The sequence below is a fragment of the Homo sapiens genome, chromosome 15 (genome assembly GCF_000001405.40).
Source record: "Homo sapiens chromosome 15, GRCh38.p14 Primary Assembly".
Taxonomy (NCBI): Eukaryota; Metazoa; Chordata; class Mammalia; order Primates; family Hominidae; genus Homo; species Homo sapiens.
This window is the reverse complement of record NC_000015.10, coordinates 67,533,506-67,545,869: the sequence shown is the minus strand read 5'-3', so window position 1 is coordinate 67,545,869 and position 12,364 is coordinate 67,533,506. Positions and strand designations below refer to the sequence as shown.

At 43.3% G+C, this 12,364-nt stretch overlaps 1 protein-coding gene and 1 long non-coding RNA gene across 7 annotated transcripts in view, besides 4 other annotated features; one reads left to right on the top strand and one right to left on the bottom strand.

The window, feature by feature from the left end:
- The window catches only part of MAP2K5 (mitogen-activated protein kinase kinase 5), a 264,412-nt gene extending 261,245 nt beyond the window's left edge, over nucleotides 1-3,167 (bottom strand). For all 6 annotated transcript variants that reach the window (XR_007064474.1, NM_145160.3, NM_002757.4 and 3 more), the window contains exon 1: nucleotides 2,400-3,167. Coding sequence is in view for 5 of the 6 variants with exons in the window: in NM_145160.3 (NP_660143.1) it covers nucleotides 2,400-2,534 (135 nt within the window). In the remaining variant the exon portion in view is untranslated. The remainder of the gene's footprint in view (nucleotides 1-2,399) is intronic.
- Nucleotides 3,032-3,151: a silencer, noted in NCBI's record as "silent region_6579". NCBI's record gives its function as "represses an Ori minimal core promoter by ATAC-STARR-seq in GM12878 lymphoblastoid cells {active_cell/tissue: GM12878}" and the evidence as "EXISTENCE:reporter gene assay evidence [ECO:0000049][PMID:35858748]".
- On the top strand, nucleotides 3,240-4,802 carry MAP2K5-DT (MAP2K5 divergent transcript). Its single transcript, NR_186334.1, has one exon. It is a non-coding gene; the product is annotated as an MAP2K5 divergent transcript (long non-coding RNA).
- Nucleotides 3,727-4,227: an enhancer, noted in NCBI's record as "H3K4me1 hESC enhancer chr15:67833981-67834481 (GRCh37/hg19 assembly coordinates)". NCBI's record gives its function as "activates a minimal SCP1, AML or CMV promoter by ChIP-STARR-seq in naive H9 embryonic stem cells {active_cell/tissue: H9 hESC(naive)}" and the evidence as "EXISTENCE:reporter gene assay evidence [ECO:0000049][PMID:30033119]".
- Nucleotides 4,025-4,074: an enhancer, noted in NCBI's record as "active region_9632". NCBI's record gives its function as "activates an Ori minimal core promoter by ATAC-STARR-seq in GM12878 lymphoblastoid cells {active_cell/tissue: GM12878}" and the evidence as "EXISTENCE:reporter gene assay evidence [ECO:0000049][PMID:35858748]".
- Nucleotides 6,261-6,350: an enhancer, noted in NCBI's record as "active region_9631". NCBI's record gives its function as "activates an Ori minimal core promoter by ATAC-STARR-seq in GM12878 lymphoblastoid cells {active_cell/tissue: GM12878}" and the evidence as "EXISTENCE:reporter gene assay evidence [ECO:0000049][PMID:35858748]".

Here is a 12,364-nt window from a genome sequence, read left to right as displayed (position 1 = left end):
ACTAATGGAGCGCTTACTATGTGCTAAGTTGTTCTGAGTGCTTTACATGTATCAACTCAAGGAGTCCTCAGAACTCTAGGAGGTAGGCATTACTTTCACCCCTCCCCAACTTTTTTTTCACAAATAAAGAAACTGAGATACAGAAGATACTTGCCCCAGTAGTACAACTTGCAAGTTAAACAACCTGGCTCCAGAGTTTGTGGTCTTAAACACTGGGCTATTCTTGAAATAATCACATAACCAAATAATATAATCACATAATAATCAACCTTCCATTGTTTTAAATGAGTAAGAGAAAACCCATCTTTCTCATCACAGTCACAATCTCACATAATCTTTCCAAGTCTTTGAGGAAGGTACAAGTTTCCCTGTTTTACAAATAAGGAAACTAAGGCTCAGAGAGGTAGACTGACTTGCCTAGTCAGTGGGACAGCTTGCAATTAAACCCAAATTCCTTGACTCTAAACCTAGTGTTCTGTCCACAGAACCATAATTGCATGCATCCTCTTTTAAGCTCCCTTCTTAAACAAGTATTTTGGGGTCCTATGAAGAAACAAAAACAAACATATCTATCTCCTCCAGAAGTTTACCATCTAGTGGAGGAGACAAAGAATCATGATCAAACATGTGCTTTGCTGGGGGACCCACACAAAGCTGTGACGACACAGAGGTGGGGCACATAACCAAGAATGACACAGAGAAAAAGCACAACTTGGCTTGGAAGGACAGGTGGGAATTGACCGGTGAAGAGCAGAGTGCAGACAGCCTGGACACCTGGGAGAAATGAAAATCAACCTATGTAAGTGAGGCACAGAAGTTTATGGGGCCGTGAAGAGAGATGACACAGGTGCCAGGCAGACAGGGGCCAATCCAGATGTGCCCAGAGGACCACATGAAGGAGCCTGGGCCTTATCATGAGGGGAAATCTGTATGTGCATGACTGTGTGGAGAACTCCGGATACAAAGAGAAGGATGGCATTTGATGCACAATATGGAAAGCTCCTGGTCAAGGCACCCAAAAATCTGCATGGCCTGGGCAGTCAGTAACATCTAGAACTCAAAATGAAGTTATAGAAATCAAATTTTGATTAAGTTACCCAAGACAATGAAAAATCACATCACAAATCTTCCTCTTCCCAAGATCCTGCCACCTTGCCCACTCTTAACTTGCAGGTAGTGATGTGCTTTTCGGAATGTCCGCTTCTGTCTTCCATGCCTCAGTTATTCTGCATGTAGAATGGGCACAAGGCACCCTGTCTATCTCAAATGAATACCAGAAAGATTAGAAGCGGCTGCAACATGTAGGGAAAGAAACCTACTAAGTCAATGAAACAAAATTTTAGTTCTGGTACTGACTCTCCCACTCAGGAGCTCACAGCTTTGGAAAAGCCATTTCACCTCACTGCTCCTCAGTAACTATCTGCAAAAAAGAAACATCAGCTGAACAGGCCACCTACAGTGTTACACTCTGCTCTAAAATTCCATCATTTTATTTGAAATATATTCTGAAAAATCTGAATGTAAAATATCACCAATTCTAAGATGCACATTTTCCCTTACTTTTACCGTCTCTGAAACTGGACTCATTTTAATAACGGATGATGTGTCATACTGTCATGGTTAGCATTTTTTTCTAAGTAAAATGTCTTACATTCAATGATGCTTTAAGTTTGCTCAGGCTGGGCACAGTAACTCACACCTGTAATCTCAGCACTTTGGGAAGGCCGAGGCAAGCAAATCGCAGGAGTTCAAGACCAGCCTGGGCAACATGGCAATACCTCGTCTCTACAAGATACAAAAATTATCCAGGTGTGATGGCATGTGCCAGCTACTTGGGAGGCTGAGGTAGGAGAATCGCTTGAGCCCAGGAGGCAGAGGCTGCAGTGAGCCGAGATCGTGCCACAGCACTGCAGCCTGAGCGACAGAGTGAGGCCCTGTCTCAAAATAAATTAATGAAACAGTGTGCTCAAACATGGTAAGTTAAAGTTGTCCTTTTTCCCTTTCTCAGCTGGTCACCAAGTTCAGAGAACTCAGTAGAAAAACAAGGCTGGAATCTGTCCAAGGACATTCCCCGAAACACTTGGGGGGAAAAAACCTCTCTTCTAGATTCAGCAGTTTGCATTTGCGTGGTTGTGTCTATATGTGTGTCCCAGCCCGGGCCATGAGCTCTCTGAGGGCAGGGGTTCAGTCAGATTGATCTATCTCCCCAGGGTCCTAGACATTTGCCAGGTTTTAGTGGTTGCAATTTATCAATGCTGTGCCTGAAGCAATAAAACTGCCTCCACAGGAAGCCAGCAGTAGCCATTGCCACTGGCTCAGGTCACCAGTGGTCAAGGTGCTGACTACTCAAGTCCCTGAGTCCCCCTTGCTGGCATCCGGACACTGAGATTACCACTCACCAGCACATCCCTGAAGAGTAACTGCGGCCCGGAGTGCACTGTCCAGTCCACCGCGCCACTATTTGGGATCTTGATGCGAATTACCAGCACCTGGTTCTCCATGGCAGGAAAGGGGCCAAGGGCTAGCCACAGCATTACAGGTTAAAGAGGCTCACATCCTGGGGTATGGGAAACCCACTGGCCGCTGGTTAGGAGGGGGCTCCAAGAGGTGACAAGGGGAGTGACGGGCAGAGGACAGAGGGTGAAAACAAGGGAATGGAGGATGAGGGGGAGGGAAGAGGGGAGGGGTGATCAGGAACGCACCCGCAGGCACCGAGCCTGCCCAGGCTGTCGGGGGTCTGAGGTGTCTCCCGGGGAGGGTGCACCGGGAAGCGGGCAAAGGCCCGCAGGAACTAGCGGAGGTCGGAAGGTTCTGGAGTTGAGCGAACGCTATGGTGAAGGTCTCTGCCGCCGTGTGGGTATGAGGAGGCAGCAGGGCAAGGACTCGGTTTGGGGGAGATACAGCGGCAGGTGTCCACCGCTCGTCAGTGGACTAGGAGAGGGTCCTCGACTGGAGGGGACTCAGTCCGGGGCTATTAAGAAAGAGCCCCAGGGCCGCCACACCACGGAGAGTCCCCGCGGGAGGTTCAAGGGGCGAGTCTTCTGCCCCACCCGGAGACACAGGGCGCGGCGCGCGCAGGCTGAGCTCCGGCCACCCGAGGCCGCGCGGACTGGCGGCGGCTGCGGCGGCGGCGACGGCGGTAGCGGCGAGAGGAGGAGGAGGAAGGCGGCGGCGACACTGTTACTCCGGAACCAAAACGCGCGGCGCCGGAACCCCGGGAGCCGACGAGCGGGACCCGCCTCCCGCGGCGCCATGTTGGAAAAGGGCAGCAGCTCCCGGGAGGATGCGCCCCCGGCGTGGGAAGCCGAGGAACCGGCGCGCGGCGCGCGGCGCGTGGCGCGTGGCGAGTCGGGGAGAGACTGGTCTTGCTCGCTCAGGAGACCCTCATCGCCCACAGAGCGCCCGCGGCGACCCGGTCACGGCCCTTCCATTTCCTGACCCTGCTTAATGACAGCGAGGTGAAAACATCTACCAAACGAAGGGTAAAAGGCTGGAGTCCGCCAAAAGCCAATTTAAGGCTTAACATTGCAGACCGTTTGTCTTTACAAAAGCTTCAAAGACGGGGCTGCAGCTCCCGGTTATCCCCACTTTGTCAAGCCATGAATCTGAATGTTCGTGGGGTTGTGTGCATCGAATCAGCAAGAGCAAGGCAAGAATTCAAGAAATAGTTCTTTTTTATCCCCCCTTCCAAGTCACAGGTTCAGAGGATCATCATCTTTCTCCCACATTAGCAAAACATATTTGCATTTTTCAGTGAAGTTCTTTACCGCACGAGTGCCCTAAAATAGCAAACAGTTCCCTGTTCAAAAGCAATAGTAAAGAAATTCGCCGAAGAGTTTAATTGCCTGGGGACAGCTGCAGTAGTCGCATCATCGTCTCTTATTAAACTGTTGCAGAAATATTCGGTCTAGTCCATGTATTTTCAACTAAATAGCACTGCTTACGCAGTTGGTGATATGGTGATATCACGGAAGTAGCAATAAACCTTGGTTATCTTTTTTTTTTTTTTTTTTGAGACGGAGTCTCGCTCCGTCGCCCAGGCTGGAGTGCAACGGCGCGACCTCTACTCACCACAACCTCAGCCTCCCGGATTCAAGCGATTCTCCTGCCTCAGCACTACCACCCCCACCAGCCCCCAACCCCTGCCGAGTAACTGGGACTACAGGCGTGCGCCATCCGTGCCCGCTCATTTTTGTATTTTCAGTAGAGACTGGGTTTCACTATGTTGGCCAGGCTGGTCTCAAACTCCTGACCTCGTGATCCGCCCACCTCAGCCTCCCAAAGTGCTGGGGGGATTACAGGTGTGAGCCACCGCGCCCGGCCAACCTTGGTTATCTTCAAATGCCTTGTTACCTCAGATTTTAAAGTGCATAAGGTTGTAGAACGATGGTGCCTCTACAGAAGTTTCTTTACAAATTGTAATGTGTAGGTTCGTCCTTTATTTCTTTCTTATGAAGGTGCACGAATTGGCTTTACTTTCTGGGGTTGAATTTTGTATAAACTCGGTTGAGGAGGCTTGTCAGTTTCCCTTCTAACAGTAAGGTGCTTGATTAATGTGAGAGAAAAAAATTAATGTTGGTCATTTTCAGTTACAATACCAAAATTTTTTCTGCATACTTTACTCTGAGTTACTTTTATATTTAATTTGAAAGGCCATTGTAGGAGATAAATTATCACATTTTAAGTTACTGTAAATCAATAGCTTAGGTAGAAATTCATTTAGTCAGATCCTTCAGATATTCTAGGAATTTCCCCTTTTCACCTGCACTTCACTTCTGTGAAAAATAAACCGTTCATCAAAAGTCCTCATGTACTTTTATTAAAAGTTCATTTCCTATTATTTTAGAAAATAGACCACGAAACTAGAGATTTTCTATGAACCTGTGATTTGTTAAAATGTCTCTTTTATTCGAAGTACCGTGGGGAAAACCAACTCAATTTGCCAAATTTGCATACATATTCTGAAGCTTTTCTTACACTAATGGCAAACTCATATTTCTGTTCCAATATTTGCAGAGCCAATATAATTACACGTCAGCTCTTCATAGCCTTTATGTAGTAAGAAATCTTAACTTTGATGATTTGAGCAAGGATTTTTCCAGAAAGTTATAACTCTCATTGCGAGAAGCATCATAATCACTGATAATACATTCCACTTGATATCATAAATGACAAAATATAACTTTCTGATCTTTACCAAATTGAATACTGTCTAAATTTAAGGAATATTTAGTATTTAACATCGAAGTTGCATGTGATCTTAAGAAGTTTGCATTTAGTACTTTTTTTCATTTTATTTTATTTTATTTATTTATTTTGAGACGGAGTCTTACTCTGTCACCCAGACTGTAGTGCACTGGCGCAGTCTCGGCTCATTGCAACCTCCACCTCCCAGGTTCAAGCGATTCTCCTGCCTCAGCCTCCCAAGTAACTAGGACTATAGGTATGTGCCACCACGCCCAGCTAATTGTTGTACTTTTAGTAGAGACGAGGTTTCACCATGTTGGCCAGGCTGGTCTGGAACTCCTGACCTCAAGTGATCCACCCGTCTCGGCCTCCCAAAGTGCTAGGAATACAGGCGTGAGACAGCGCGCCAGGCCTTTTTTCTTGTTAAATGATACAAGTCAGAATAGTCACTCAGGTACTGGCTGAGATAGTTTACTAGCCATTAAGCAAACTTACTGTAAAAAAAAAACTGTGCTTACTTGTAGTGTTCCTACTTGAGGGATTTACTTTTCACTAAGTGTAATAGAAAATCCCTCCCCTCATGAAGTTATATTCTGATGGGGAACACAGACAAATGAGTAAAATATATGTTAGATAGTAGTAAATGCTAACAGAAAAATGAAATCAGAAGGGAAAATGGTAAAACAGTAAGTGCACCAGTGTGATAACACTAAGGAATATGAAAACTGGCCTATATTGGCTTCAGTTAACTGGCAAATTTAACTGAAAATAGACACATTACTGAAAAGTTAGATGTCTAGTGATTTTTTTCCTTGTGATAAAATACACATAAAATTTACCATTGTACTCATTTTGAAGTGTGCAGATCAGTAGTGTTACATACATTCATTCATCCTGTTGTACAGCCAATCTCCAGATTTTCATCTTGCAAAACTGAAACTCTATATTCATTAAACAACTGCCCACTTCCCCTTCCCTCCAGCCCCTGGCAACCACCAATCAACTTTCTATTTCTATGAATTTGACTACTCTAGATACCTCATATAAATAGAATCATCCAGTATCTGCCTTTTTGTGACTGGCTTATTTCACTTGGTATAATGCCTTCAGGGTCCATCATGTTGTAACATGTGTCAGCATTTCCTTACTTTTTTTTTTTTTTTTAAGATGTACTCTTGCTGTGTCATCAACACTGGAGTGTAGTGGCATGATCTAGGCTCCACCTCCTGGGTTCAAGCAATTCTCCCACTTCAGCCTCCCAAGTAGCTGGGATTACAGGTGCCCACCACCACACAAGGCTAATTTTTGTATTTTTAGTAGAGACAGGGTTTCACCATGTTGGCCAGATTGGTCTCGAACTCCTGACCTCAGGTGATCCACCCACCTTGGCCTCCCAAAGTGCTGGGGTTACAGGCATGAGCCACCACCCCTGGCCATTTCCTTCCTTTTCAAAGCTGAACAAAATTCTGTTGTGTGTATATAACACATTGTGTGTATCCATTCATCTATCAATGAACATTTAAGTTGTTTCCACCTTTTGGCTATTGTGAATAATGCTGATATGAACATGGGGGTACAAATATCTGTTCCTGTCTCTCCTTTCGACTTTTTGGGATGTATACTCAAAAGTGGAATTGCTGGATCATATTTTCTATGTTTAATTTTTTGAGGAATCACCATACTGTTTTCCAGAGTGGCTGTACCATTTTACATTCTCACCAAAAGTGCATAAGAGTTCCAATTTCTCCATGTTTTCACCACCACTGGTTATTTTCTATATTTGTTTATAGTAGCTATCCTGTTGGGTATAATGTGATATCTTACTGTAGTTTTAATTTGTATTTCTCTAATGATTAGTGATGTTGAACATCTTTACCTATTCTTGTTGCTCATTTGTATATCTTCTTTGGAGAAATACCTATTGAAGTTTTTTGCCCATTTTGTGTATTTATTTATTTATTTTTGAGACAGAGTCTTGCTCTATCTCCCAAACTGGAGTACAGAGGCACAATCTCAGCTCACTGCAACGTCCGCCTCCCAGGTTCAAGGGATTCTCCTCCCTCAGCCTCTCGAGTAGCTGGGACTACAGACGTGCACTACCACACCCAGCTAATTTTTGTATTTTTAGTAAAGATGGGGTTTCACCATGTTGGCCAAGCTGGTCTCGAACTCCTGACCTCAGGCGATCTGCCCACCTCGGCCTCCCAAAGTGCTGGGATTACAGGCATAAGCCACCGCACCTGGCTTTTTTTTTTTTTTTTTTTGCCCATTTTAATAGGGTTATTTTGTTGTTGTGATTTATTTTTTTAAGGAGAAAAATTACATTTTGCTGTTATAAATTCAGAGAGGTTTTCTTTCATCTCTTATTACCCTGATCCCAGTATCGAATCCTTAATCCAGAATCTGAGCCTTTCTCACCACCTTCACTGCTACTACCCCAGTCCAAACTATTCTTTCATCTTCTGTTTTCGCCCTTGCCCCTACTACCAACAGTATTATCTACCCAGTTGCCACAGTTAGATCAAGTCACTTGTTTGACTAAAACTCTCCAAACAGCTTCTTATCTTGTGCAGGAAAAAGGCCAAAATCCTTTTCTTGGCCTACAAAACTCTACACATTCTGCCCCTCATCCCATCTAAACTCTCAAACTTCATTTCCTACTAATCTCCCTCACTCCTACCAGCCTCCTCCTCACTGTGCCTTGAACATGTCCCGCATCCCACCTCAGGGCCTTTGCATTTGCCATTTCCTCTGCTTGGATTGCTCTTAACCTAGATATCTGCATGGGTCATTACCTCACATTCTGTAGGTCTTGACTCAAAGGTCACCTTCTTGCTGAGGCTCTCCCTTGGCACATTATTGAGATTGCAGGCCATCCTCAAACCCATAGATACAAGCATGAAGGCATGCACAATTCCTAATCCTCTTCCCTAGTGTTTTTCTCCTGGCACTTATTGCTATTTTTTTTTTCTTTCTGTTTTTGAGACAGGGTCTGGCTCTGTCACCCAGGCTGGAGTGCAGTGGTGTGATCTCAGCTCAATGCAACCTCCACCACCTGGGCTCAAGCGATCCTCCTACCTCAACTCCCTGAGTAGCTAGGACCACAGGCGTGCACCACCATGCCCAGCTATTTTTGTTTTTTTTGTATTCTTAGTAGAGACGGGGTTTCACCATGTTGGCCAAGTTGGTCTTGAATTCCTGGGCTCAAGTGATCTGCATGTCTCTCAAAGTGCTGGGATTACAGGCGTGAACCACTACACCCTGCCCATTTATCACTATTTAACATACCACATGTTTTACTCATGAAGGGATGAAATTGTGTGTTTTATTCACTTCCATATCCCTAGTACCTAAGAGAGTATCTGGAACGTAGTGGGCACTTTAATAATATTTGCTGACTGAACAGGGAGTTTTGAACGCAGAGTAGGTTGAGTAATAGGAATGCAACTTCCATTGCATGTTGCATCCCCTGCCTGCCTTGAACATCAATCACTTGCCCCCTTGCCTTTCCACCACCACCACTACCAAGACTGCCACAGTAACAATTATAGACTCCCATTAAACAGTACATTTTATTTAAAATATTGATTGCCTCCTATGTTTAAGAAATTCACCTGGCCGGTCATGGTGGCTCACGCCTGTAATCCCAGCACTTTGGGAGGGCAAGGCAGGTGGATCACAAGGTCAGGAGATCGAAACCATCCTGGCTAACATGGTAAAACCCCATCTCTACTAAAAATACAAAAAATTTGCCAGGCGTGGTGGCATGCAACTGTAGTCCCAGCTACTCGGGAGGCTGAGGCATGAGAATCACTTGAACCCGGGAGGCGGACATTGCAGTAAGCCGAAATCATGCCACTGCACTCCAGCCTGGGCAACAGAGCGAGACTACATCTCAAAAAAAAAAAAAAAAAAAAGAGGAAATTCACCTGTCTCCTTCAGCACCCAGTATGGGCCCTTGCAGATGACACTCCAATATATGTCGATTAATCTTGATTTAAAAGAATATAGGCCAGGTGCAGTGACTCACACCTGTAATCCCAGCACTTTGGGAGGCCGAGGCAGACCAATCGCTTAAGCCTAGAGGTTCGAGACCAGCCTGGGCAACATGGTGAAACCCTGTCTCTACAAAAAAAACAAAAATTACCCAGGCATGGTGGCACATGCCTGTAGTCTCAGCTACTCAGGAGGGTGAGGTGGGAGGACTGCCTGAGCCTGGGAGGTCAAGGTTACGGTGAGCTATGATTGCACTACTGCACTCCAGCCTGGGTGACAGAGTGACACCCTGTCTCAAAAAAAAAAAAAGTTGCCCTTCTACACACCAGCAATGTCTTTGAAATTTTGATTGAAAAAATAATGTATAATAGCAATAACAAAACAATAAACATAATTATTCTCATGTTGCGTGATATCTATTAATTTTGAGATGGAGTCTCACTCTGTCATCCAAGATGGAATGCAGTGGCACAATCTCCGCTCACTGCAACCTCCGGCTCACAGGTTCAAGTGATTCTTGTGCCTCAGCCTCCTGAGTAGCTGGGATTACAGGCATACACCATCACGTCTGGCTAATTTTTGTATTTTTAGTAGAGATGGGTTTTTACCATATTGGCCAGGCTGGTCTGGAACTCCTGACTTCAAGTGATCTGCCTGCCTCGGCCTCCCAAAGTGCTGGGATTACAGGAGTCAGCCACTGCCCCCAGCCCTTTTAATTTTTTTTAAAGGCTATGAAGAGACAGACAAAAAATGAACACAAACTCCCAAAAGTGTAACAGGAGAGTTGCCCTGTTCTGTTTCGGCAGGAATGGAAATGAAAGTACACTCACACAGAGGCAGAAATTACAGTTCCACAGGTCATTCATGGACCACCACTATATGCTAAGCCTGTGGATTTTAAATACTCGAAAATGAATTAATTTATTAATTTAAAATTTTATTAGACATAATTTCTACATAACACATTTTTCTTTCTTCTTCTTCTTTTTTTTTTTTTTTGAGATGGAGTCTTGCTCTGTCGCCCAGGCTGGCGTGCAGTGGCGGGATCTAGGCTCACTGCAAGCTCTGCCTCCCGGGTTCACGCCATTCTCCTGCCTCAGCCTCCCAAGTAGCTGGGACTACAGGCGCCCGTCACCACCATGCCCAGCTAATTTTTTTGTATTTTTTAGTAGAGACGGGGTTTCACCGTGTTAGCCAGGATGGTCTCGATCTCCTAACCTCGTAATCCGCCCACCTCGGCCTCCCAAAGTGTTGGGATTACAGGCGTGAGCCACTGCGCCCGGCCGCACGTTTTTCTTTCAGTAGAGTAGACTGGTGTTCCTACAAATCACTTAAACTTTATTTTTTCTCTCTTCTTGTTGTTTAAACTTATCTATATTACTTTCTTTATATGTAGTCCTAATCATAATAACAAAGCACTTCCGCATCCATTGTCTGACAAAATTATCTTGTGCATCTTACGACAAGTGTAGAGGAGAGGCTGAGAATGTGGACTCTGTAGACAGATGGGAAGAACACTTACCATGCGTGGCCTTGGGCAAGACCCTTTGGTTTCCACAACTGAAAAATAAACATAAAAACCGTACCTAATTCATGGGGTCGTTATGAGAGGATTAAGTGAGTTCATATGTGCCAGGTCCTTAGATGAGGACCTGGCACAAGTAAATGCTGTGTAAGTGTTAGATACATTTCTTATTGTATATATGAAGACATTAAGACTTAGAAAGCTCTAAGTTTTCTCAAAGTTACTCTACCAGCAGTGGTAGAGCAAGAACTGAAACCATATCTTTTCTCTTCAAAGCAGGGTTCTTTGTATTCCACATATACTGGAAAAGCGGTAAGTACCAAACTAAATAGCATGGTTGGGAACCAGACATAGACATGCAGCAATGATTATAAAATTTCTGAGTTAAAGTGGACTTAAAAAATCACCAATCTAATCCCCTTCCCATTCAAGAATTTTACCCGCCCCCTACCCATCTCACTAAGGAATTGACATGTAGCTTCTGAACAGCTCCAACAACAGAAGACTCACTGTCTCAGGAGGTAACCCATTCCATTTTCTGAGGATTAAAACACTCTTTTTGTCTTCTAGTTACTAACACATTACTTCTAGTTCTGTTTTAAAAGAGTAAGTCTAACTGATTCTAGGACTTTCTGTTTCATGTTTCACTTCATTTACTTCTACACATCATTCTAAATTTGATTTTAAAATAGCAAAATTATTGTATGAGAAAACAGGTGGCACCATTTGAAATACCTCAAAAGGAAATTCAACAAGATTACAATCTCTTATCTTTCAGCATACATAGTTAATTCATTACATCTGAGATAATATTTCAAAACTTATTGCTGTTCTTGTAAAGAATCCATATGATCTCCAATTAAAGTATCCTGTTTTCTAAAAAGCTATTAAAAACAAAGGCAAGTTTTCCTTTTAATTTTGAATCATCACATATTTATTAAACATTGAGCCTTTATTATATGACAAGTGCTGGAAAGAAAACTTCATAACACATGTTTCTCACCCAGTTGTGGACAGCAGTCTTTTCAGTATGGCTTGAATGGACTCTGTAAATAGATTTAGAACTGCTAGATTTTGTTGGCAGGGAAAGTTACTAGGATTTCCACACTGTCAAGGGAACATTGACAAGTGCCTTCAACACCGTCAAGGCAAAAGTATTTCTTGGATGAATAAATGACTGTTGATTTTGAAATGTGATCTAAAATTAAGTGACACTAGATTTTTATTCAAACTTTCAAATTCTTGCTTCCTTCATTTTGTAAATTTAGAGATTTGAAAACATAAGAAACTAAAATTTTGGTGGTCATCTCATAGCAAGGGTCTTGATACAATGTGTAAAAAGGTAACAAAGGTATCTATTTTCATCTCGTTCTTACACATCTATATCTTCTGAAATAAAAATATCCACTTTAAGTGGAGTTTTACATTTATATCTATTTGCTAGAGTATTAATTTTTTATTTTGTATATTTTTATTCTTCCGTTAGGGTTTGAGTAGACAACTTTTTAAGTCTGATTTTAAATTATGAACTAATATGAAAATAGAGTAAAATGAATCACTTTGTGGTTAATAAATTCAATGTTCTGTTTACAGACAGATTGTTATAAAATTACTGATATATTCTTGCAGAAGCAGTAAAGGTTATGTCAAATAAGT